At 37.8% G+C, this 27392-nt stretch overlaps 1 protein-coding gene across 4 annotated transcripts in view, besides 2 other annotated features; it reads left to right on the forward strand.

The window, feature by feature from the left end:
• Positions 1 to 27392, forward strand: part of ARHGEF28 (Rho guanine nucleotide exchange factor 28) — a 315795-nt gene that overhangs the window by 95596 nt on the left and 192807 nt on the right. The window lies entirely within an intron of this gene.
• Positions 25378 to 25959: an enhancer, noted in NCBI's record as "NANOG hESC enhancer chr5:73042994-73043575 (GRCh37/hg19 assembly coordinates)". NCBI's record gives its function as "activates a minimal SCP1, AML or CMV promoter by ChIP-STARR-seq in naive H9 embryonic stem cells {active_cell/tissue: H9 hESC(naive)}" and the evidence as "EXISTENCE:reporter gene assay evidence [ECO:0000049][PMID:30033119]".
• Positions 26733 to 27027: a silencer, noted in NCBI's record as "tiled region #14272; HepG2 Repressive non-DNase unmatched - State 15:Elon, and K562 Repressive non-DNase unmatched - State 22:ReprW". NCBI's record gives its function as "represses a minimal TATA promoter and a strong SV40 promoter by Sharpr-MPRA in HepG2 and K562 cells {active_cell/tissue: HepG2 | K562}" and the evidence as "EXISTENCE:reporter gene assay evidence [ECO:0000049][PMID:27701403]".

Raw genomic sequence — 27392 nt, forward strand, 5'->3', positions numbered from 1 at the left:
AATTAATGGTATCCTTGATTTTTGATCACATAACTAATAGTTGTCAGGCCAGTGCCCTTTGCATGGGAACTATTTAGGAATCTTGTTACCATCTGTCGGTATTCCCTTTGTTAGAGATGCTCTTGGTATAAAGGGCTCAGCAGCAGTTTTGTCATGAGCTCAGTGTTGGCCCCACCCTAATCTAGAAATTTCTTTGCAGGTTTAGGCACACAATATCTAATGAGTATATCTGGGAGCCTGTCAATTATGATCTTTTGCTGCTATTCAGTGGTAATTGAAAAATAATTAAGCAGTAGCACACAGATATATCTGACACATGTGACTTAGAGATAGAAAAGCTTGCTGCTATGCTAAACTATTTAATAGGCTAAGCAAAAAGATTCGTCGTGAATATGTAACAATAGCTTTTCCGAAGGAAGGGAGGGAAAGATAATTAATATTCTTGAACATCCATGACATAGCAGACACTGTGCTAGCTGTTTCATCAACCTTTTATTTAATTCCCATTACTTACCCAGTGTGCTAAGTATGATTTCCTCTCTCTAAAACTCAGAGAAATTATAAATGCTGTGTCCAAAGCTGCACAGCTATTTACCAGATGTCCTGGGACTACCAGAGTGTAAGGACTCAATAAATGTTTGTGCTATGGATGAATGGAATGTGAATGAAATGGCCTGCAGCCCAGGCAAGTTTTCACATTACCATTTGTCTCTCATCTCACCATGTGTTTCAAAACATAAAACGCTTTGTTTATCTTTTAGGAAGACCCACTTTTCTTTGAATGGGACATGAAAATAATGGGTGTGGATATTCTTACTCCTATTTATTGTTGAACATTTGGTTCCTGATTTAAACTTCAAAGTACGACTCCTATGAGAGTTTAATCTCCAGAAAATCCCTGATGAGAAACAGGCAGATAGATATCTATTTTATGATAAATCCTTATTCATTCAGAATTTCAGAGGCAATGAAGATGAAAAAGGCAAATGCATACATATCTCTCTCTATCCATATATATTAACAAATAAGGCTAACCATGTTTTAAAGTAGCCATTTTTTGTGATCTGTTTTAATGAACAGATTAGTATAGTACTGTAGTTTTTTATGTTTTAATTTAGACCGTCATCTTGAGGCCTTAAAATAATTTAATATCTTAATTAGCCAAAGCATTCCCTTTCAAGAACATTAGCTTGCTAGCCATCCTTTCTTATGTAGTATGAAGATATATTTTAGTCCATATTCTAATTTAATAAAGTTTTACATTATTTTCAAAGTGTCTCTGAAAGAGATTAATGTAATTGTGGTTCAGTAATTATTCCTGTCCCTGTTCTAGGTTAGTCTCCTCTCTTATCTTCTCCATAGAAAATGGGTATCACTGTTTTCCATTTGAAGGAAAAGAATTTTTTTTTTTCCTTTGTGATGGAGTCTTGCTCTGTCGCCAGGCTGGAGTGCAGTGGCACAATCTTGGCTCGCTGCAACCTCTGCCTCCCGGGTTCAAGCAATGCTCCTGCCTCAGCCTCCTGAGTACTGGGACTACAGCTGCGTGCCACCACGCCCAGCTAATTTTTGTATTTTTAGTAGAGACGGGGTTTCACCATGTTGGCCAGGTTGGTCTCAATCTCTTGACCTCATGATCTACCCTCCTTGGCCTCCCAAAGTGTTGGGATTACAGGCGTGAGCCACCACACCCAGCCCCAAGAATGTTTTTTAAGAAAAACAATTTCTTGCTTTATGAAAATCAGTTTCACATCTTTGGTCTAATTATGTTGTTTTAATTTTCAACAAAGATCAGTTAAGGTTTATTTGTATGCTTTTCTAAATGAAGGGGGAAGAAAAGAACAAAACAAAAAAACCAGTTCCCCCATTAAGCTCAAGAGGAAGTTTCTTGTTCTCAAATCCATTTAAGAGGATAAGCCATTCAAAATCTCCTCTGTCACCTCTCAGACATATTTTTCTAATATCACAAAGGCGTGGAGGGCATTCTAAGCCCTAAATTGAGCAAAATGAATTGGCCTTGTGACTATTTATCCATGCATTAATTGGTCTAGGAATGGTTCTAGCATGAGCATGAAGAAAACTAGAAGTATTCAACTACACCTAAATCCACTCTCTGGAGTAGATTCTGGGGTTTGCATTTGGGGGCAGTTCCCAAAAGTATCAGGCCTCTGTCTCTGTTCCCTTTTCTCTCAAGCTCCTTGGAATCCCTGGGTGGTTGTCCAGTGGTCCACAGAGGTACCTGTGCCAGGGTCTGCGGGGGCATCCCAGGCAGGCCTGAGCATCCTGAACCTTATTTCATCCATGCACCTCTGTTAAAAATTCTCATTCCTCTATTAAAATGTTGTGGGAATTAGACCAAAGGTTGATGAAACAGCTAGCACAGTGTCTGATTTGTCATGGGTGTTCAAGCAAAATTCTCAAATCTCTGTTTAAAATTCTCTATTAAAAATTAAGAATTCTGTGCCTACTAGGTAATAATTACATAATCTTAAAAATCAACCTCTTTTTTCCCTTAGGAAATATAGATACATTTTTGAGAAAGAATTGCCCAGAATCTAAATATAATCTGGACATGAATAGAATTTCAGTTCTAAATGCATGATTCTTTTGAAAAAGGCAGATACTATATGCAGTGTGAACGTGCATATAGTAAAATCCCCCCCTTTTTAGTGTACAGTTCTGACTGTTGACAAATACACAGAGTACTGCAACCAAATATGGAACATTAACATCACCCCAAAATTCCCTGTGCTGCCCCTTTGTTGTAGCCAGTGCTTCCTCTAACCTCAATCCCTGTCAACTGCTGTTCTTTTCCCTATAGCTGTAAAAGATAACATTTCCAAGATGTCATATAATTGGAATCCTATGTTATGTAGCCATTCAAGTCTGGCTTTTACCATTCAGCTTAAGTCATTTGAGATTCATCCATTCGTTTCATGTTTTAAAACTTTGTTCCTTTGTATTTCTTAGTAGTATTACATTGTGTGGAGGTAACACAGCTTATTCACTGAAGGATATCTGAGATGATTCCAGTTTTTGGTGATTACAAATAGAGCTGCCATAACCATCCATACACAGATTTCATGTGAATATAAGTTTATACAACACCTAAATAAATACCTGGGAGTAGAATTTCTAGGTCGTATGGTAAGTTTATATTTATCAAAGGGAGATTGTTAAATGTATTTCAGATTTTATTTTTCTTCTAATTATAAAAGTGATGTATGTTTGTTGTAGAAAACTTAAAAAATATAGAAAAGTACCAAAAAGGTTAAAAAAAACCCTTAATTCCATATGTATTTCATTGTCATCTGGGTATGTGCATAATCTATTTACCAATTGTTTGGTGTCCTATTTTTTGTTTCACAAATATTTTCTGTGTCATTAAATATTAAATAACTTCTGATAATACCTAAGAAGTACATTTAATGATAGGAGTATCATAAACCATGGCAGACTGATAGAGGAGATATTTTTGTACAGAGGAACTTAGAATCTTTGTGGTTGTTTGAACACACCTTCTCATATTTGCGTAGTCCTCTATTATATGAATTCATTTAGGAACAGTTAAAACTAATATGGCCAATTGCCTTGTATAGATACGCCCTTTAGGTTTGAGGCTTATAGGTATGAATAGAATGTTGGTCCACTGGACGTTATTTTTTCCCTTGGATAAACTCAATACCTCTTAACTGTTATTTAAATGGTGACTGTAAGAACATTATTGTCCTTTACTTTCATAAAATAATTTATACTAATCTTCTTAAGTGAAATTAAGGTTAGGGACTATCATGTTAAATAACCAGCTAATCACTAAAAATCTTTTTTATTTTCTTTTTAATGCTGCATTAGTGGTTCAAGTGAGGTCTCTGTTTTGAGAGAATCAGTAAGTTGGCTGTTTTCGTTGGTATTTGGGAAAGCTAGGGATATGCTTGGGGTGTGGTGTAATTCATTCACATGCCTGATTTGTAAAGCCAGGTCTATCTTCCTGATTTTCTGAAGAATAGGCTCATGACATTTGACTGGACAATGAGGAAGAGTAGAAAAAGGGTCTGAGAAGAGTTTAAAGATTTGGCTACTATTTTGGATGTCTGGAAACTTTTTCTTTACCTAAGTATCAACCCTTTATTCTTTCAGGGCTCAACTGCAAGACATACATTTCTGAATTAAGAGAGCATTAACAATAAAATTCCTGTCAGGGTCAATTGTTAAACTAGCAGTCAAGGTGACTGACTTGGGCAGTATGTAACTTGTGCAGTTTCCCCCTGTGTTGAGTGGTTTTAATCTAAATTTTCCTATTAGCCTGAGTTTGGTTGCAAAGACCATATCCCTAAAAGTTTAAACCAGGGGAGAAAGTGTGTGTGCATATGTGTGCCTGTGTGTGCACAAATACCCCTCAGTGAAAAGCTCACTGCCAGCCCAGAACAGAGTAGGGTTCAGTCTTCAAAATGACAAGGAAGTCCTTTGGAACTTCTGGGCACTGCACTCCCTGTCTGCCAGGTATGACTAGCCAAACTGCAAACAAAATTCAAGTTACATAGATACCAGTTTGCTGTCTTGTTTACTGACATGTTTTATCTAAAACCAAGCTGTAGCAGTTACAAAAAAATAATTTATTTTCAAAGAGTTGATTTAGAGCTTAGCTTTGGTTTTATTTTTGCTAGGGAAGCATTTAAAGAGAATCTAAAATATGCTATCCAGCTAACTAAGATATAGGGAGTTTTAACAGAAAATTGATTGGCCCACAAATAGGTAAATTAGTTCGGTGCAAAAGTGTATCAATACAGTATACGATGAACTTACTAAGCACAGTGTAAGTTGCTAGGAATAAGGCCATCCAGAATTCTATGCTGAATAGCGTTTCAGGGTGACTTTGTATTTTGGCAACATATCCCAGACAGTTAGTGGAAATGAGAGAACATGTTTTATTTAATTTGTACTTTGGTACCTTTTATGTGAACGAGGCATGTTTAAGCACTTAATGTTGTCACCAGCCTTTTAAAACTATCTTTTTTTCCCGCTGCCCAACTGTAGTTTCCCTTCAGTGTTGAGTGGTCGTAATCTAAACACATTAAGTTTTTGTCTTGTTCTTTCTGCAGAGATAGAAAGCTGGGTCTGAAAATAAAAGCAGAGCTTTTATACAAGGAGGTCAGTGTTTGTACTCAGAAAAGAAAGTATGTAAACCAGATTTCTAATGGTTTTTATAACTGTTCTGAATGACATTGGCATTTAGAGATTGGAAGCTTTTAAAATTCTTTGCTTAATATTTTTCCTCTGCAAATATTTTTCTTCATTACCTGTCCTCATGTCAGTTTTCTTCCTGTCATGATCATTACAAAGTCCATTTTGGTATCCATGTGAATTGGTATAATTGGAGCCGGTGAAATTCAGATTAGGCATCAGGAAGAACTTTCTGAAAAGCCAGAACTGTGGGAATACTAAGAAGATGGGCAAGTTTCTTCTTAGAAACATATAAAGAAACATTTTAAAAGTGATCTTCTTGGGGAGTTTGTCTCCTTGCTTAGACCTGAGGGGGTGAGTGAAATAATCTTTTGTGACCACTTTCACTTTGTGCTTTTGTGATTCTCTGAATATACATATCCACTGTAAGTTTGAATGATTTTTATCATGGAATCTTATGTGTAGCAATTCCCTCTAATGACAGGAATAGATGGTCATCTACTCTCCTTAAGCTCTTCTAATGGTGACAAGAACCCACTTTCCTGGATAAGGAAGAGAGTCCATATTTGGACAGTTCTACTTGCTATAAAATAATTTTTAACTGTGGCCTAAAATCTGCCTCTGGTAATTCTCTCCACTTGCTCTTGGTTCTGTCCCCCTGAGACATTGTGTAGTAACTCTGTTTTTTCTTGGATATCATCCTTTAAGACTTTGAGAACAGCTGTCATATCCTCTCGTTAAGTGTCCTCTTTGCCAGAATAAATCCCTGATTTCAAAAGCCTTTCTTCTCATAGTGTGGCCCTCAACATCCAGTTAAAATGCAGTGCCTCTAATTGAACAGAATCCCTCAGCAGGCCATGGCCAATGCAGAGGACCATGGGGTCATCACCTTCCCTGTTCTGCCTACTGTCCTTCAGTCTCAGGTAGTCTGAGTTCATTTTGGGTGACTGTATCAAACTGCTGCCCCATCCTGAGCTTACTGCTGTCTGAAATCTCTAGGTCCTTTCCACGTCAATGCTATTTATCTGGTCCTCTTGCATCCTGTGTTGTGCTGCTGAGTTTTCTTTAACTTAAGTACAGCATTTTCATTGTTAGTTGGTGAAGTTCGTCTTGTTAGTGTTGGTCCTGTTGAGGTCTTTCTGAGACTTGATTCATCCTGACTGACCCTTCCAACTTTGCTTCTACCATTGGTAAATTTGATAATGATATCTATGCTGTCATTGAAGCCATAAGTAAACATGTAGAACAAAGTAGAGCATTGCTTGTCTTGTGGAAAGCCTTCTTATTTTTAAAATGATAATTTCTTTGTTTCATCCCAATGTAGTAAAGAAATGGTCAGGCTAGTGGCTGATTAAATGGGTCACAACTGGTGGCTTCCCTTTGTTGTGCCCCTACAGACCTTCACTCAAATTCTTAGCCTTGCAAGTCTGAAAACAAGTTTTCTTTCAAGTCAGATGTGCTATCTAAATCAAGTGTTGGAAATTGCTTTGTAAAAAGGGTTTAAATTATGAAATATTGGAATCATAGAGAATAGTACAGCAAGTAATATAACAAAGCCCTCTTTTAACTTATCACCTATAGTTAAGACAAGTCGAAAGGTTAATGTTTTTCCTTCTCGTCCAGAAAGCTAAAGAATGTTGTCAGCCACAGAGAGATGTTGTGGCACCCTGTACTAAATACACGGTACTGAATGTTCTGGCCAAAGAGAAAACGTTTCTCATTGGAGAACCCTGATGAGATCAGCCATTGAGAGTGCTGCCAAACGACTCCAGGTTGAGTAGGTTCTGCAAATCATGTTGCTTTCTGTGGCTGCTCTTTCCAACATATATCTTGTGTTCCAAAGGAGCAGTTTTGGTGCAGGATAGTTGACCATAGGTGTGTGAACTTGCCCCAAGAAACAAAGGAAGACTACGGTGCTGGCATTAAAATGTGAGCTTTATAGCAGTTCAAGGGACAATCAAGAAAATAAATAACAAAGAAAAGCAGAAAATGGCAGAAAGCCCTGGATATGATAAGAGGCCTCATAAATATCACTGCAGTCTGAAGGGACTGACCCACAGTTGTGGATAGCTAGAGGCAATTCTTGGCTTCAAGGGATTTCAAGAACCTGTAAGGATTGCCAGTGTGTGTAGCTGCATCGCTGTGAGGACTTGGCTGTGAGAGTTTAAGAGACTGCCTGGCTCAGCCTCCTGACAAGCTGTGTGATCTTAGGCAAGTTATTTAAGTGCTCCCTGCCTCAGTTTCCTCATTTGTCAAATGAGGATTATAATAGACACCTACCTCAAAGGACTGTTGTGGGATTAAACTGATCAACTGAAAGCTGTTAGAACTGAGATTGACAGGTTGGCTAGGTGATGATATGTGTTGCTCTAATCATGAGGATGACCATGTATAGTGCTGATTTTATTTTTAAGAACATATCCTCTGGGCTAAAGGAATGCTGCCTTAGGGGGAGCTGCAGTATTTACTCTATCTCCTGTGAAACAGAGTGAAACATTCATGTTTGCTGGCTGGATCTTGCCCCAAGGACAATGCTAAATAAATATTGAACAATTCTCATTCTTTAGATTTTCTGTTTCTAAAAGTCATTTAGATGGCCATACTTTTGTTTGTATTCTTCATCACAACATCACCCTTTATTTAAATACACAGAATGTGTTAGATTTCTCAAGTTTATTTAGTCACCGATCACATTTCAGGCGGGCAGCTTCTTTTGATATTATGGAGGCAGATACATATCTTTCCTCGATAAGGTGGGTAGTAAGTAGCTAATTTTACTCAAATTGTATAGACTATTTTTGTTAGTGTTAGAGAGTAGAACTTCACAAGTTGGGAGTTTGTCTTTTTGGCGCCTTTAAATACCTATGAACCAGTTACACACTAACTATTGTTTTAATCTTGAAATAAGAGCAAGGAGTAGATAGTAGATAGGCCTGAATTCGAGTCCCAGCTGTGACCTTCCAATTTGTACTATCTCACTTTCCCATTTATAAGGTGGGAATAACAAAACCTAGCTTGCAGTGTTGTGAGATTTAAACGTATTGCCAAATAGTGGTTTCCAGAGTTATTCAGTGAATATATCGCCATCTAATTCTGATCTAAAAACAGTTTTTCTAAGGTTCAAGTTTAAATGTAAAGCATTAACATGCATATTACTTATAGTTTGTGGTTAAGTTTATAGCTTATAGTTCTGTTTATAAATTTATAAAATGAATTTAATGAAATCTACTCAACTTATCCTCAAATGTAGAGTTTTTTAAATAGTAAACTGTCCCAGTCAGATATGTTGTATATATCTGTGACCCGCAGAGAAGTAGTTGGGGGTAAAAATGCTTCTTCCCCTGTTAAGAGGTGCTCGCAAGGCTAGGAGAATGACTGGTGATGGCCATGTAGGTGGTTAGATAGGTAGGGATGTCCTACTTATCTTGTTGGATTCCAGTGTTGCCTTGCATCGGTAGGCACCTTTAAGGCAAAATAAAGGAAAATATATTTCAGTAGACTGCTGACTTGATCATGTATGCAACCTATAATCAATATAGGTTCAAACTGTCCACCATAAGGAGGATTTTTTTTTTTTTTTTTTTTGTCAGGGTTTCATCTGTTGCCCAGGCTTGAGTGCAGTAGCACGATCACAGCTCGCTGCAGCCTCAGCCTTCCTGGGCTCAGGTGATCCTCCTACCTCAGGCCCCCGAGTAGTTGGGACTACAGGTGTGTGCCACCATGCCTGGCTAATTTTTGTATATTTTTGTAGAGACAAGGTTTTGCCATGTTGCACAGGTTGGAACTGTTTTGAAGGTTGATATTTTTAATGGTTTAAAATTTTAGATTTGAAAATGAAAAATTTATTCTCTAGTTTATCCTAAAAATTAAGTAGCTGTTTAGAATCTTTTGGTTTTTTACTTGCTCTGTGTTGAGTCTTTAATTAAACAGTTGAAAACTAACATCTTAGATGTCTTTGGGACAGTATGTACTGAGCTAGATTTTTTTTTTGCAATGATCAGATGAAATTCTTTAATTTTTTCTTCTTCTCTGCCTTTAAGCTAAAAAAAAAAAACCCTCTAATCTCTTATGCAGAAAAGTAGAAAATTCTTGATGTTCTCTGTGACAAGAATAATCCATTTTTAGTAACTGTGCTCAACCTAATTTAGCATGTGGGACTTCAATGGGAATGCGTTAGTTTCTGTGATTGTTGGGAAGATGTTTTTATTGACTTGGTAGTTATGTGTGCTTTCATTATGTGGTCAAAAGGTTTGGAGTTGTATAGTTTGGAAGGAGGGTATAACCAGTTAAAAAAACAAAATGCGGATCTGTGTCTATCTTGTCAGGAATGAGATAACTTAAGGGGTTGCTGTAACTTAAGGATTTCTTCAGTTAGACATATACCTTGAAAAACTCAAATCATCATAAGTTTTGGAAGCATGCCTTTGCTTGGCTATTAAAAAATTTGTTCAAAGAGAAGGGGTCTTATGTAATACATAGTGGCCATTTGGTTTTAAGGAAAGAATTGGGATACTGTGGCACAGTCATCAGGATATTTGACAAGTTACTGTGTCATAATGTACTTCCAGGGAAGACCCATAATTACTGTGTGGCCAGCAAACTTCTCTTTTAGTTGTTTTTGAAGGGATAGGGTGGTCATGGAATGAGAATTGCTTTCCTTTCTGCTAGGTAAATTTTAAAGTCATGTGTCTCTGGAAAGCTTTTTGTATTCATTACATGTGCTGGGGTTTTGGGTGATTTCAAGAGGCCCAGAGTAGACAGCATAATATTAATATAATCTACAGTGTCAGAAGTATGGTAAATTGTTAGAAATGGCATTTAAAATGATACAGTTTTTCTTTATTATGTAAACAGTTATTTATCAATGAAGCTGTTTTCTCCTAGCTCTTCTCATTTCTGAATTAAGGGACACTTGTAGAAGTACATCTAGCACTACATTTGGGGTAAAATTGTTGAGATTGAGAGGGAGAGGGTAGTGTGTGTGTGGTCAGCATAGCCTCCCCCAGTATCCACATCCCCCACCAGGAATATCACAATTTAGTGAACTTTTTTTTTTTTTTTTTTTAACAATTGATGAACTAACATTGACACATCATCATCATCGAAAATCTGTAGTTTACATTAGGGTTCACTCCTGATGTTGTATATTCTATAGGTTTGCACAAATGTATAATGATAAAGTATCCACCTTTATGGTATTACATAGAGTGTTTTCACTGCCCTGAGAATCCTCTGTGCTCTGCCTATTCATCCCTCCCCCACCTACCAACCCTTGGCAACCACTGGGTTTTTAACCATCTCCATTGTTTTGCCCTTTCCAGAATGTCATAGAGTTGGCATCATGTAGTATGTAACTTGTTCAGATCAGCTTTTTTTTTTTCACTCAGTGACATGCATTTAAGGTTCCTTCATGTCTTTTCATGACTTGATAGCTCATTTCTTTTTAATGCTGAATGCTAACGCTAATACCATCAACTGGATGTACCACAATTTATTTATCATTTGCCTACTGAAAGACATCTTGGTTGTTTCCAAGTTTTGGCAATTCTGAATAGAGCTGCTGTAAACATCCATGTGCAGGTTTTTGTATGATGTAAGTTTTTAGTTCCTTTTGGTAAATATTGAGGGTTATTCTACTATTTTTAATTCTCTGTATAGCACTTATCTGATATTTTCTTACTTTATCTTTCCAACAGAAGGCTCTAGACCATGAGAACAGGGATTTGCTCGGTTTATTGCTGCATCCCTTGTTCCTAGAACAGTGTTTTGAATATATTTTAATAAGGGCTTAATATATGTTTGATGAATTAATGTATAAAGCTACATTTTACTAAGAAAAAAGTGGTATATGAAAGCATAGCGGAAACACACAAACAGTAGGAAATGATTCTTTTGGTTTACAAAAATGTTCTCCCATTCTAGTTAATTAACTTTGAGTCCTTTTTGTGCATAAGAATATTTGAGGGAAATTTGAGAGGAAATAATTACTTTATATCCTGCTTTATTCATTTTTAGCTTTTTAAAAATTTTTTATTTCAATAGGTTTTGGGGAACAGGTGGTGTTTAGTTACATGAATAAGTTCTTTAGTGGTGATTTCTGAGGTTTTGGTGCACCCATCACCCAAGCAGTGTACACTTTACCCAATGTGTAGTCTTTTATCTCTCACCTGCCTCTCACCCTTTCCCAAGTCCCCAAAGTCCATTGTATCATTTTTATGCTTTTGTATATCCTGTGTTATTCCTAAAATAAATTGGAGTAGTTTAACAATGAAAAATAAAAAGACTAAACACATAATAGGGTCTTACTCCATGCCAGGCAGAGGCATTCATTATTACATTTGACTGTCACTAAAATCTAAAGGACTATATTTAATTCCATTTTCAGATGAGGAAAGGAAATTAAGTTACAGAAATTAAGCCAGTTGTTTAAAGCTAAACAGTGATAAGTGATAGAGTCAGGCTTGGGATCCAGGCCAACTGACTCCAGATCCAGGGCTGGCTGACTTAACCATGATGCTCTCTGGCCTTCATTATGTGGGAGGGTCTGTTAGTACATTCTTGCATTGCTATCAAGAAATATCTAAGACCGATTACACTAAAATCTCAGAAATCACCACTAAAGAACTTATCCATGTAACTAAAACCCACCTGTACCCCGAAAACTATTGAAAGAAAAAATAATTTAAAAGGAATGATGGAATTAGAAAATCATCATTTGACAACTATTACAGCAATAATTCATTAAGGCAAGAAAAATCAGATTTTTCTTGAAATTAAGAAATGAGATGAGGCGTGAAAAAGAAGAAATATCTCAGAGTGGGTAATATATAAAGAAAAGATGTGTAACTGGCTCACAGTTCTGTAAGCTGTACAGGAAGCATGGTGCTGGCATTTGCTTGGTTTCTGGGGAGGCCTCAGAAAACTTACAGTCATGGCAGAAGGTGAAGGGGGAGCACACAGTCACATGGCCAGAGCAGGAACAAGAGAGCAAAGGGGGACACGTTATACACTTTTAAATAAGATTTTGCAAGAACTCGCTATCACAAGAACAGCACCAAAAGGATGGTGCTAAACCATTCATGAAGGAGCTACCCCCATGATCCAATCACCTCCCACCAGGCCCCACCCCCAACACTGGGGATTATAATTGAACATGGGATTTGGGTAGGGACATGGATCTAAACTATATAAGAGGGTAAAAAAAAGGATGGAAGGGGCATAAATTGGTAAAATGAAGGCCTGTAGTGTTGGCAGAGAGAAAAGAGAAGAATAGGGAGGGACAGTTAAATACTACGAGACAGGTTGGGATGAGATGGCCTGAAATTCAGAGGGACATCATGGGCATGCCCAGAAGAGTGGGGCCTTCCAGGATAGCTGGGGTTGGGATGAGCAGAAGGGCCAGGGCAGCATGCTCACTGGTAATGAAAGGTATGAAATCCTGAGGATTTCACTTCAGGGTCTTTGGGGAGACAGAGGAGCAGGACACACTTCTAGGCAAATGTGCTGATAGAATTTGTGCATTAAAGAGGAAGGAAGATGATCCTGTGTCCTTGGAAGGCCACATAAAGGATAGACAAAGTGAGGAGTTAGCATATAGCACAGGTAACATTTCTCTGTGCCCTCATAAGCTAGTGCTTGTACCACTTTATATCCCAGAAAAAAATCAGATACACAACTGAGGTAGATTAAGATCCTGGAAAATGAGTGCTCTGTTGATCTTCTAAACAGATGGTAAGTAGCATCCAGTTCCAGAAGAATGCAAGAACTGATACCACTTTGCCAAATTAGAGTGAACTGTCTTCAGGATAAAAATACTTCTGTTTTTTCTTTTTCTTTTTTTTAAGTTGTGTTTTTGCAGTGGAGAGGGAAGACTATTTTGAAGTAGAGAGGACTTTCATTTATAAAATGGAGTCTTTCAAATGAGTGCTTACTACACCTTCTATTTTATTTCTCTGAATCCTGTTTCCAGCTTGGAGAACTTGAGGAGGGTCATTGTAACTTTGGTCAAATAATGTAGCCTTCTAAACAAAATATCCTCTTCTGTAAAATGAGGGTACTGATGCTGCGCTGCCGACCTCACTGTGCTGTTTTGAGAAAGTTGAGGAAACTGCCTGGCACTCATTAGATATTCAATAAATGTTTCTTCAATGAACAATACTGAATAACAAGAGTGATATTGATTTTAGTAATCTCTGAGTAGCTGGCTAATTTATTAATTTATTAAGTAATTAATAAATTAATACATTTATTAATTTTTATTAATTAAATTAAAATTAATTAAATTAAATTAAAATTTATTTATTTATTAAGTGTCAGAAGTGCTATGCAAGTGCCGATATATTTTATTTCATTTAGCAATGTTAAGAATTTCCTAAGATAGGCAGGCACTGTTTTTATTCCTGTTTTACAATTTAGTAGCAGAGGCAGCCAGGATTGGAGTCCAGGTCTGCTTGAATCTTTGAGGCCTTACACTTTTCACTAGAGCTTCAGGAGGTGGCTAGAGATCCAGACCAGTATCTCTGGTCTGCATGTACAGTCATTGAGCCAGACCCATGTTTTTCTAATCTCTAGGTTATTTTTGGTACTCTTAAAAATTCCAGAGCAGCAGGGTACTGAGAAAGAGACTGTAGCTCAAGGAAAGCCAATCTCGATAGCAGCCTTCCTGGCATAACTGCCTGTGTCTCCTAGACTGGTCTTTGTAAAATGCAAATCTGATTGTGTTACTCCCCTGCTCAAAACTCTTCCAGGAACTCTTTGTCTTCCAAGCCCTCCATGCGATGGCCTCTGCCTTCATGTCCAGCTTCTCCTCCTATCCTACTTTCTACTTCAGGAATCACAGCCTGGCGATAATAAACTGTCATTCTCCAAATGAGCCATTCTCTCACTGGTTTTCACGCCTTTATTTGGAATTCCCTTCCATTCACAGCATCCTTTCCATCTTCAGAGAGGCCTTTCCTGACCTGTTACTCCCTCTCCCATCCATACAGAGACTCTTGTGCTCACTTGTGTTTGTTTAAGCTCTTCTCTTCCTATTAGGCTGTGAGCTCCGTGAAGAAAGAAAGGATAGGTCTTGTCGTCTTCATACCATCTGTGCCTAACACAGTGCCTGACACACATCAGGTATTTATTGAATGAAGGAATAAGAGAAAATAATCTAAAAGAGGTCATAATATTCACAGTCCTTGAACATGGTCATTTCTTCGAAGTACTCAATGGATACTCATGTGTAACTTCTTAAGACTTCACTGTGGAGTTAGGTGTGAGGAAATGGTCACGGAGCCAATCAATGCACCGGGCTGTCTCTTGTTTTCGGCAGAGGCTTTGCTGTGGGGGACGCAGCACTGACCACAGTGGCAGGGCTTGCTGGGAGTTAAGAAGGAAGCATGGGTTTGACTCCTGCTTCTTCCTGACCCTCCAGATCACTGTATAATTATCAGGGCATTTACCTCTCGAAGTCTCTCTTTCCTCATCTATAAAATGAGGATGATGGTTTCTACCTTATAGGCCAATTGTAAGGAATTAATGAGATAATTCACTTAGAATGGTACTTGGTACATTCAAATGCACAGTACTGTTAATTAAAACACAAAGGGTCCTATCATGGCCATTTTTATCCTTATGTGTTCCTAAGCAACCACAATTAATAAACTGATAAATACTACTGTTTTTGCATTAAGGCTTTCTGTTAGGAAATGAGAAATTTCATATTTAATGTGAGTTAATACAGTGCCTGATGTCCCTTTATAACTGAGATTGCTTCAGTAACATCTATATGGTAGGAGTTTGATAACAGTAAAATATCTGCAAATAGGTACCTGCCATGGTAAGGTTTGTAAACAACGTCGAATTTTATGGGACCATTGAAAGTTGGTGAGGGGAGGGAGGGAGGGAGGTAGAAGAGGGAGAAAGAAACAGTGAGGGGCAAGAAAGGACAAGGTCAGAAAAAGGAGCTCCTTCGTTTTAAAGCCATGGCTGCTTCTGCCTAAAGTGGCTGGGAATGAGAAAGGAGTCCCCAAGTGTGCTCTCCTTTCTCCCTGCAGGGTTGTATGGAAGGATGGGCTCCCCAGAATGGGGATGTGCCATTAGTAGGATGTGAGTAGTGTGAAACCTCCCCACCCCCACTTTATGATGTGTTTCAATGAGACACATCCGAGGTGCTTCTTTGGCCCTCAGCTCTTGATTTAGATGCAGTGTTCCTTGTCAGCACCAAAGTTTAAATTCTTTTCTGCCTCCCTCTCCCCTCCTCCTTTTTACAAAAGTGTTTCCAGATTGCCATTCCTGGTGGGGTGAATCTTTCTCTCTCCTGCTCATTTTTATTTATCTATTTATTTTCCATCTTTCTCACGCTTTTCCTATTTCAACTAAGCTCCATGTTGCTTTGTTTTTCCAGCTCTTTCTCTGCTTGCCCCCGTCATCACTCCCCAGCCCACTGCCGTTGTTTTTGTTTCTCTCCCCACCGAGCCCTCTTCCTTCTTTTCTTTTCTTTTCTTTTCTTTTCTTTTCTTTTCTTTTCTTTTCTTTTCTTTTCTTTTCTTTTCTTTTCTTTTCTTTTCTTTTTTGTGATGGAGTTTTGCTCTTGTTGCCCAGGCTGGAGTGCAATGGTGTGATCTCAGCTCACTGCAACCTCTGCCTCCCGGGTTCACGCGATTCTTCTGCCTCAGCCTCCCAAGTAGCAGGGATTACAGGTGCACGCTGCCACCACGTCCAGCTAATTTTTTGTATTTTTTAGTAGAGAAGGGGTTTCACCATATTGGCCAGGCTGGTCTTGAACTGCTGACCTCAGGTGATCCGCCTGCCTCGGACTCTCAAAGTGTTGGGATTACAGGCGTGAGCCACCATGCCCAGCCCCTTGTGTCCTTTTCTTTCCCCTCTTCTGTAGGCTCTTGGAGCTGGGGCTGACTGACTGCTACCTGCTCTTTCCACGTGCCCTGCTTCTCTAGTTTCCATCAGGACTTCAAGTTTTCCATGCTATGACTGGGCTGGCCTTTTTCCTGCTTTTGCTTCGATTTGAGGAGAAGAGCTACAGGACCTGAAAGCGCTCTATGGTTTAACAAAGGTGACGGGAGCCCAGAAGAGAAGAGACAAGACAATGGAGGCTGGGGATGCTGTCGGGGTGGGTGCTGAGGAACTTTAGGGGGAGTTCATTGATTCTGATCCTGACTTCTTTTCATAAAGGCTCTTCCCAGTCCCTGGGGGAGGAATAGGATTCATCTGGGGGTCAGACTGTTGCTCTTCCCCACTAGTAGCTTGGGGGAGTGGGAAAGGTATTCGATGGAAGGTGACCACCAGGGATTTCTGGTCCAAGGTTAGCAGTGTGATGGAACCTAGATCAAGGTTATGGGTCTTCAGTTTGCTGTAATGTAAGGGGTTTGATCCAGATGAGCTCTAAGGCTTCTTTCAGATCTCTAAATTGTACATTTCTGAATCTCTACTTTTCTTACTAAGGATTCCCAGTATCTTACAATGAGCATTGCTTGGCAGAGTCTTTAGCACTCTTATTTAAGAGTGGCCTCGTGTGTGTGTGTGTGTGTGTGTGTGTGTGTGTGTGTATGTATGTGCATGTGTGTGTGTACGTACACCGAGGATAGATAGGTGGAAGGAATATTCTCGCACGGATGCTGGCCAGATGAGAGGGACAAGGGGAACTGTCTCCAGCTTTTATACCTTTGTACAAAGGAGAGGGACTGCCTGTGGAACACAAGGACTTGGTGGTCCACCATGAAATAAGAATGGATAGTTATGATCAGGTTATGCCCAGAGATAATCAATCCATGGAGACCTGGGGTTGTTTGTATTCCTGATAGTCTTCATTTTAGTTTGAGATGTTCAATGCTGTTACTTGGCCCACAATAACCTTCAGATGGCAGTTGATTTGACATAAATCTGTAGACCTCAAGTGCTAAATAATAACCATGTGAGGTTACTGTCTGTGTGGGTTCAAGGTGAATTTGAAGTTGACAAATTGTAGTCTTTACAGTGGTGCACATGTAAAGCTTGTTTGAGACATGAACCATAAAAAGGGCTTAGAGGAATATTTTCTTAGGCCATTAGTGACTTTGGTCACTAATAGAACTTAGTTGTCTTCCCATAAGACAGCAGAGGGTATCCTATAGTCCTTAGAGGGGCCTTAGAGACTCTTTCTTATTGGATAAAAGGAAACCTTTTTTTTTTCCAAACAAGTATTATGAGGAACATTAATATGTAATCTTGATAAAACTTTATTATTATAAATGTGTTCTTTAAGTTTATTGCATTTGTCAATTCGATGGAAAAATGACAACCTGGCACTTTAGGTCCTCTCCAATGTCTTAAAATTTGGTAAATAATAAATTTAAGTGGATGATAATCCTTTTAGATTTCATACTAATTGGAAACATATTTCCCAAATGAAATTTAAATGGAATGTTTATGAACTCCCAACATCCTCCCATTACAACTTAGGGTTCCCCTGATCTCAGTTTGAAAACCATTAATACAGAGAATAAAAATAAACTAAGCATAAATCCAAGGAGTTAGAAAAATAAACCAAAGCAAAAATATAAGAGAGAAATTAAAAAACAAACCTGGGGCTGGACACAGTGGCTCACACCTATAATCCTAACACTTCAGGAAGCTGAGGCGGGCGGATCGCTTGAGCCCAGGAGTTCAGGACCAGCCTGTGCAACAGGTGAAACCTTCTCTCTACCAAAAAATTAGCTGGGCATGGTGGTGTGTGCCTGTAGTTCCAGCTCCTCAGGAGACTGAGGTGGGAATATCACTTGTGCCCAGGAGGCCATGATTGTGGTGAGCTGAGATCATGCCACTGCACTCCAGTCTGGGGTACTGAACAAGGTCCTGTCTCTAATAATAATAATAATAAAAATAAATAAATAAATAAATAAATAAATAAATAAATAAAAATAAAAAATAAACCTGGGGCTGGATGTGATGGCTCATGTCTGTAATTCCAGCGCTTTGGGAGGTTGAGGTGGGGGGGTCATTTGAGGCCCAGGAGTACAATACCAGCCTGGGCAACATAGTGAGACTTTGTCTCTACCAAAAAAAAAAAAAAAATTTAGCTAGGTGTGGTGTGGTGGTGGTGCCTGCAGTCCTAGCTACTTAGGAGGCTGAGGTGGGAGGATCCCTTGAGCCTAGGAATTTGAGGCTGCAGTGAGCTATGATCATGTCACTGTACTCCAGCTTGGGTGATATAGTGAGAACCTATCTCAAAAAAAAAAAAAAAAAAAGAAGGAGAAGCGAAAAATGAACAGAAATCCCACGAAATCCAAATCCAGTTATGTTAGGTCCCCCATTTTAAAAAATATTGAAGCAATTAATCAATCTAGAATTATATACCAGATATTATAGATTCTAGACACTGAATATTAGATAGTTCTTTAAGTTCTTTAGCCTCATTCTTTCTCAGAGCAAATAAGCAAAACAGAAAAACAAACAAAACACACCATCTCTTAGTAGTGCTTGTTCCTCCTAAGCTGAAGCAATCCTTGTCGTCTTTGGATGTCTGATGCTTAGAGGGCTCTCACTGGGGAGCTGAACTCTGTCCCCTGTCCTTCCCTGTATTGTTTTGTGCTCTTCCCTTGGGGCCTGCAGAACATGTCTAATCCTATGTCTGCATGATAGACCCTCAGATATTTGCAGCGGTGACCATTTACCCATGAGTCGTCTCTTCTTTAGCAAAACAGTCCCAGTTCCTTCAATTGTTCTTCATATGACAGCATGCTTTTTGCATCCCTTTGGCATCCTTGTCCTTTTCCTCTGAACGTGTTGTCAGCTTTGTCTATATTTGTATTAAAGTATTCCATGGCCCAGGTGTGTCTGACAGGTATAAAGCAGAGCTGGACCATACTCACTCTTAATGGAGTTACTAAATTTTCATCAATATAGGGTAGGGCAGGCTGCTCCCTCAGTGATGCTAGTGGATTATTGATTAAAATCCCAACTTGTGTCTAACTGTTAAACTGCATTTTGCTTCCTTCTTGGTTTATGTAGTTGATGATTTGGGGGCCAGTATAGGGCTTTTATTCCTAAAGGATTATCAGAATAAGGCAAGAGTGATTACAATTTTTCTTATACCCAAGCCAGTACATTTCCCACTATGATCTGCTGCTTAAAGTGCCAGATACTTGTTTTCACTTACTAGGAGTTCTCTGTCTCCATGGAATTTGTAAGTTAGGGATTTGAAAAGGAAGCAAGCTAAGGGGCTTTATAAAGCCTGCTTCTGGTCTTGTGAGGAATCTGGAGTCATTTGCTGACCTCTGTCATGAATTGTCTTTTACTTAGTTCTGCTGTGTTATAGAAACAAAGGCAATTTCAATTTGATACTGGTGAATCATTCCATCAAGGGTGAAAGTCGTCTAGATTTTAAATTTATATGTGTGTGTGTGTGTGTGTGTGTGTGTGTGTGTGTGTGTGTGTGTATATATATATATATATATATATATATATATATATATATATATATATATATATATATGTATACTCACTCTGTTGCCCAGGCTGGAGTGCAATGACATGATCTTGGCTCACTGCAACCTCTGCCTCCTGGATTCAAGCGATTCTCTTTTCTCAGCCTCCCAAGTAGCTGGGATTATAGGTGTGCGCCACCAAGCCCAGCTAATTTTTTGTATTTTTAGTAGAGATGGGGTTTCACCATGTTGGCCAGGCTAGTCTCAAACTCCCGACCACGTGATCCACCTGCCTCAACCTTCCAAAATGCTGGGATTACAGGCATGAGCCACTGCACCTGGCCTGTGTGTTTATATTTTTTGAATTATTGTGTTTAATGCAGAGGTTTGAATAATGGGTATCTTTTACAAATATTAATATATGCATTTAATTATGTTAATTATTTCTTTGGGTAAGTTATTTTAATTGTGTAATTTAGATCTTTGATATCCTTGTCAATTTTTTGCTTACTTGTTCTATTAGCTATTGAAAGAGGCCTGTTAAAGTTTCCCACTGTGATTGTGGATTTGTCTATTCTATTGGATTTGTTAACTTTTGCTTTATATCTTTTGAAGATGTGTTATTAGGGGCATACAGAAGTAATATTATGATATTATCTTCTTCAACTGACTCTTTTTATGATGAAAGATTTCTCTTTCCCTAGTAATATGTGTTGCTTTAAAATCTGCTTTGTCTGATATTATTTTGTTTGTGCTAGCTTTTTCTTGGTTAGTTTTGCATGGATGTCTTTTTACTTTTAAGCTTTCTGTGTTATTTTTAAAGTATGTCTCTTGTTGGCAGTGTATAGGTATCGTTATTGTTTTTAGATTAAAAAAAATCCATACTGGCAGACTTGGTGTACTATTTGGAGTAGTCTATCTACATTTAATATAATTGCTGATATAGTTGGATGTATATCTACATATAGCTATTTGCTCTCTGTTTGGCATGCATGTTTTATTTTTATGTTTTTTGTTTCACCTGTCTTATTTTCTTTTTGATGAATCAACTATTTTTATTATTTAAGTTTCCTCTCTATAACTTATTAGTTATGCATTCTTTTGGTGGCTACTCTCAAGTCAAAATATGTATATTTAATATATTATAAATATGATAAAAGTACTTTCAGGCCGGGCGCAGTGGCTCACGCCTGTAATCCCAGCACTTTGGGAGGCCGAGGCGGGTGGATCATGAGGTCAGGAGATCGAGACCATCCTGGCTAACAAGGTGAAACCCCGTCTCTACTAAAAATACAAAAACTTAGCCGGGCGCGGTGGCGGGCGCCTGTAGTCCCAGCTACTCGGGAGGCTGAGGCAGGAGAATGGCGTGAACCCGGGAAGCAGAGCTTGCAGTGAGCCGAGATTGCGCCACTGCAGTCCGCAGTCCGGCCTGGGCGACAGAGCGAGACTCCGTCTCAAAAAAAAAAAAAAAAAAAAAGTACTTTCAGCAATTTCCTAATATTGCTAGGTACTTTAATTTCATCTACCTTTTACATTATTGTTGTCACACATTGTAGTTCTACAGATATTTTAAACTCCGTGACATTATAATATTTTGTAAAACATTTTCTTATATATTACACAAAATATGTAATTTTATAATTTTGTAAAATTGTTTGTATATTTGATTTAATTATATTTATTCACATATTTACCTACTCGCTATTCCTCATTCTTTCCTGCATTTCCATGTTTCTGTTTGAGATTATTTTATTTCTTCTTGAGTAACTTCCTTCAGTATTTCTTTCGGTGCTGGTCTGTTGGCACTGAATTCTCTCAGTATTAGTCTTAAACATTTTAATTTCAGTTTCATTTTAAAAGATATTTTTGTTAGATATGGAATTTTCTTTCATCCCTTTACAGATATTACCCAATTGTCTTTTGGCTTCCATTACTTCTCTGAGTGGTTCTCCTCTCTGGTATTTTGTTACATTTATGTCCTCATTGTTTCCATGACTTTTTATTTGCCAGCCCTTGTTATTCCTGGTTGTTTTCAGCCGGACTGTTGGCCTGCTGTGGTCTATTTTATCCTATCTGGAGATGGACACCTACTATAAAGGCTGTTTCTCAAAAAATGTGTTATAAGTCTTTTAAGTTATTTTAGTTAACCTTCTTTTAAAAAATTGGCATTCTGATATTTCCCCCTGGATTTAACCAATTTGTATTTACGTGAATGGGACAATACATTTGAATAATCTTGATATTTCAAATTATATAAAAGTCAGACGCTTTTAAACATGCTTCAAATCAGATCAGGGGTTCTTCAGTTTTTTGATTCACATGTTCTTTGTGTACTCTTCTCAGAATCTGTAACTGATAGACAGACTCCCCAAATAAATGCCCCAAACTGTTGCATACATTTTCCGGAGGATTAGGGTACATTTCCCCTCACCGTATCTATCTGTAGATTTCAGGATGGGAACTACATTAAGAACATAAAGGAAAGATTGAGTTAAATGAAAAGCTGTAGATAAGTCACTAAATATTCGTGCATTTGCTGTTTGTTCACTAACATGGTGGGGAGAAAATGTACTGAGCCTGGCACAGAAAGATGTAGATTTATTTCTGGCTCTGCTCCTCACTAGATCCAATATTTTCAGTGTTCTCTTTAATAAACAAGGTTCATAATAATACCTCCCAGGTATTATTGTGGGAATAAGACAAGAAAACACACAAGAAAGCACTGTATAAATTGTGGTGTGCTGTACACATAGATAATATGTATAAGTAGTTAGATATGTCAATATCTGTATTTGTATACATGTGCACACACATATAAGAAATAATATTTGCATCTCCACACTTCCTTTTAACGAAGTACTTCAGCTAAACACAGTAATTTGAATAAAATACTTTGTGCCCACGGTGCTTCCTTTGGTACCACATATGCTATTGTACTTGAGAAATTGTGAAGAGGATAACCTAACTTGGGGGTTGGGGCAGAAATCAAGAAACCTAATATTACACATCTGGCTCTGGGATCCTGAGCTAGTTAGCAGTAGTACCTATAGTTGTATTTACTTACCTATAAAATGGGATAATAACCATGCATGCTTTTTTTTTCTTTTAACTTTTCAAGGATCTTACAAAGTTCAGTACACTTGTTCTACAGGAAAGGCTCTGTATAGATTTTTTTTTCTTATTGTAAAGAAGACAAGTTTCAAATATTGAATACAAATCAAATTTGATAGTTCACTTAGCACTGTATTTTAGCATAATAGTTTTCATGGCATGTATTAGTAAACATTGATTATAATATTTAACAGTCAACTTATATTTACCTTTATTATGCTTCTTTCCCTAAATCATCCCATATAAAGGCTGTGTATAATACTAGAATCCATTGGAAGATAGTTTATGTCTTCCTGTCAAATAAAAAGGTGACAATTACCATTGAAAAGTATTTATTAACTTCCCATTTTTGCCTGTTACTATAAAAGCTAGAGTTCATAAACTTTTTTTGAATCTTTAGATGCCTTTGAGACTATGATGAAAGCCATAAAAAACCTTTCCTCAGAAAATGGACATATATACACACAAAAAACATTATTATGTTTTGCTAATAATTTTCAGAGGTCCTCAAACTGTCTGAAATCCATATTCAGATTCTTCCCTTGGTTAAGAAACCCCACTATAAAAAGATGTATCCTTTTTTCTAATTGTCATAATTTGAAAATACAGTATTTGTTCATTGCCCAGTCATGCCATATATTTAAGAAACCAGAGAGTTAAGGTGTTGTTCAGCAAATAGCATTGTTATTAACGAAGTGTAATTATATACAGATGCATTGTTTATAATGGGAGGGAAGAAAGGGAGGAAGGGAGAGAAAACATGAGTACAGGAATACCCAGTGATTAGGCTAATACAGCCACTCAATTACTCAAGGTATTAGAGACATAGATTAATGAAAAAATCTTTAGAACATGCAAACTGGTGTTGACAACCATTTCCACTTTAAATACCATCTGGAAAGGAATAGGAAAGTTGGATGAGATAGTTTAAGGTGGCAAAAACATTTGTTACCTTTTTGGTTCTCTGGGAAGAAATCCATAGATGTCACAGCATTTCAGCAGAAGGATTGGTCTTTGAAAATTATTGAGTTTTATGAGTAGAATTTCTCTAGAGGATGTTTGATGGTAAAAAATGTTAGTTTAATTTACCTGATTCTTTGTGTGTATTTATATTGAACTATGTTTAGTATGATTCTAGTCAGTTCAGCTTTTCTGCTCTACATTTGTGATTCCTGTTTTCCATGTGACTTGGCCTTCCAAGATTTTATGGGAGTACTGATGAGTATTTTTTATTTGGGCATGATTGGGTAAGAGGTGATATACCTTCACTATTTGACAGGGAAAGGGAATGATTCTGACACTGATTCCAACTGGTTCACTTGGGAAACTAAAAATTTTGACCTGCCAAAGGCAAAGTTTGTAGGTGAATTCATATGTGAAACAGAAGAGGGAAGACTAAATTTATTCAAATTGAGATTTGGTTTGGCCACCAGCAATGTTTACATTATTTTGCAATAGACTTTTATGAAAGTGAGCAATAAATTTCAGTGGCAATGGAAAAAGGTGAATTAAATCAGCGAGGAACTGTTTATGATCTGTTAACACAGGAAATACTTCCAAAGATAGTTTTGGCAAGGTTGGGGTGAAAATGATACTCTTAACCAGCACATGTGATAAAAGTTGATACAAAATTTTTGGAAAGAAGTTTGGCAATTTGTGACAACTTGTTCATATTTTTGGAAGCATTTCTAGAATTTTATTCTAAAATAACATCTCAAAGGATAAAAATTACTTAAAATGTTTATAAAGAGTTGTTTAAAATGTTAAAAAGTCAGAAGTACACTTAACGAACAGTAGATGAATATTTAAGTAATCATGCAATTGTGGAACATCAAACACTTGGTGGAATGCAATTAAAAAGGGTGCCAAAGATTGTAACAATGTAGAAAAATACTTTTGATAGAAGAGAAGAAACCACACAGTATGTATTAATGTATTATGCCATGAGTATAGCTGTGTAATAATTACCTGTGCATATGAATAAAGACTGGAAGAGAATAGGAAAAATGAAAAAAGGTTGATAGTTTAGGATCATGTCAATGCAGATGAAATCTAAATACCTTTAATTGCTATTATTTATTCAATAATGAAAACTTTTAAACAGTCTTCTAATTTTATGCTTTTATGGATTTTTATGTTAGATATTGAATTAATTAGAAATTTAATCATTTGGTAGAAGGCATGTTTTTGCTCCTAATGGATAGCTATTGTTCTAAAACTGTTTATTGAATTGTCCATTCTTTCCCTGCTGATTTGAAATGCCACCTATTATAACATAATTTCCATGGGTCCATGTGTCTGCCTCGGACTTTGAACTTGTCTGTCTCTATGCTACCATTACTCTGTTTAAATGACCCTGGTTTTATTGTATGTTTTGCTTTGTGGTAGAGCAAGCTTTGACAGCCCAAACATTCTCTCTCAAAAATATCATTTCGATTCTAGTGTATTTACTCCTCCAGATGAACTTTAGAATAAGCTTGTTGAGTTTCATTTGAAAAATGGGTTTTGACTGGAATACACTAAACTTGTTGATTAATTTGGGGAGATAATTTTGCCTAGCATGCTTCTTATTTTTTCCAGAAATTTCAGTGGCATATTTGAGTGTTTTTTATTTTGGATATAGTGAGTTTATAGAAAGGTGAGAACACATCTCTATTGTTTCTATGTAGAAGCAGAGTGATTCTGATATTTATGCCAACAAATTTATCTAGGAAAGTTTCTAGTTTTCAATTGCCTGAAACAAAGAATGTAATTGGATCCAGATGGGGAACTGAAAGAGATACTTTGGAATTCTGTACATTGGAATTTTGTCTTTGCCATATATGAAATCGGTGGCCTTTTTAGAAAAGTAGCAGATTTTCAGTGGACTCAGTGGTTAGAAAGATCCCACTCTTACCCAAAAAACTGCCACCTGTGGTTGGCTATTTAAGCTGTACTTGCATATTCTTTCAGAAGGCCGTTCTTCCTGCTGATCTCCTAAGTAGCTTTATCTAAATCCGTCTCCTTTGAGCTTTATCTGCCTTTTCTGAATGAAAATGTCCGTGTTATTTCATCTTCATATTTTCTTTCCTTGTCTTCCTCTCCTGCCCATCCATTTCTGTCTAAGTGGGTCTCTCTGTTGGTTTCTGTATCACCCCCTTCTTCTTCCATAGCATCTTTAACTGGGTCTTTCTGATGTTTTTCTGGTTACCATATAAGAGACTTTTTTTATTGCTGAATATCTTCTGAGTGTTAGGACTTCTGGGCATCTCTCTTTAATCTCCTTAATGGGCATGTCTTATTACTCACATGACTGTTGGTTATCCTTTCACTAGTGTAAAGCATGGCATGGTTCTTGGAAGGCAGGCGTGATGAATTACAAGACTGTAATGTTCAGGGTTGTATTGTGTTGGAAAGGGTTGCAATTAAACTCTCATAAGCTGTAGTCCTTGTCCACCCAACCGAATAAAATAGTAATATGATCGTTGTTTTGAATAGATGCAGATTAGATATCCTTGTGATCTGTGAAAATTTTTGATCTGTTTATATAATTTGTTTTTTTATTTAAAAAAAATCACGAACAGGTCAGGTCAGATTCTGCCTGTGGATAGTTAACAGTCTCTTTAGAAACCAGGAACATGACTAAAGCAAGCTGTTCTTCCTTTTTTAGGAAATGGAATTTTGTCTAAGTTTCCTCTCTCAGTCATGTTAGACATTTGTTGTTTTTTGCTTTTCAGATCTCCTTCCTGAACTTTTTTGGAAGCTATTGTATGGTAGATTTTTCTTGGCGTGTTGCTTTTCTATTGATTACGTTTATGTGTGCACATACACACGCATGCTCATATGCAGAAAAAGGGCAATTCAAAACTGCCAACCAGTGATTTTTTTTCAGAACTCTATACTTTGTATTTATACCATTTCATAATTTCCGATAACTGTGTGTGTGATACATTTTAAACCACTAGAAAAGCATAGTTGTTTGTTTATTGTAAAAAACTGAGATTAAATAACCATGTGACTACTAGAAAACCCTACACCGATTTTGTTTTTGATCCTGATTGGCTTAACTCTTAGTGTCCTGTGAAATATCTTGCTAATATTTGTCAGAGGCAAATTGATGTTAAGGAGTCTGTGTAGGCTTTTATCTGTTCACTTTCTCCTCTATCATAGGGTAAGGATATCTTGGCGAGCAGGTTTGTTTTTGTTGGACAAGCACACAAAAGCCCAGATGCTTCTCCACGCAGGGCCGAGCTCTGGAAGCCCTCCAAAGTGGGCGACCCTTTCCACCTCCAGGTTTCCATTTCCCCGCCACTCCCACAGGCTGGGCAGAATGCGCTCTCTCTCTGGAGGCCCCACTTTGTATTGCTTTTTGTGTTTTCGGTAGGGAGTAGCACAAATCCTTCAAAGCCTCTGGGGTCTGGAGATGACCTGGCAGTCCCTACCATAGCTGCTGTTCCCCTGGGTGCAACACGGCTGCTGTAGCCCCTCCGCAAAGCCTCAGGATGATGAAATACCCGAGAGCCCCAGCCTGCTGCCCCACTTCCTTTGACATTAGTCCTCAGAGGATGCCTCGGTGACCTGAGGTGGCAGCTCCTCTCCTTGGGACCAAGGCACTTTGCAGGGCTTTGTGCCAACCAGAAGCTCTTAAGAGAAAGTGTGAGGAAAGAGCACTTGGAAACCCCTCAGAGAAGAGAAATAGCAAATGGAAATAGCATAGCA

This window comes from Homo sapiens, chromosome 5, assembly GCF_000001405.40.
Source record: "Homo sapiens chromosome 5, GRCh38.p14 Primary Assembly".
Lineage (NCBI taxonomy): Eukaryota > Metazoa > Chordata > Mammalia > Primates > Hominidae > Homo > Homo sapiens.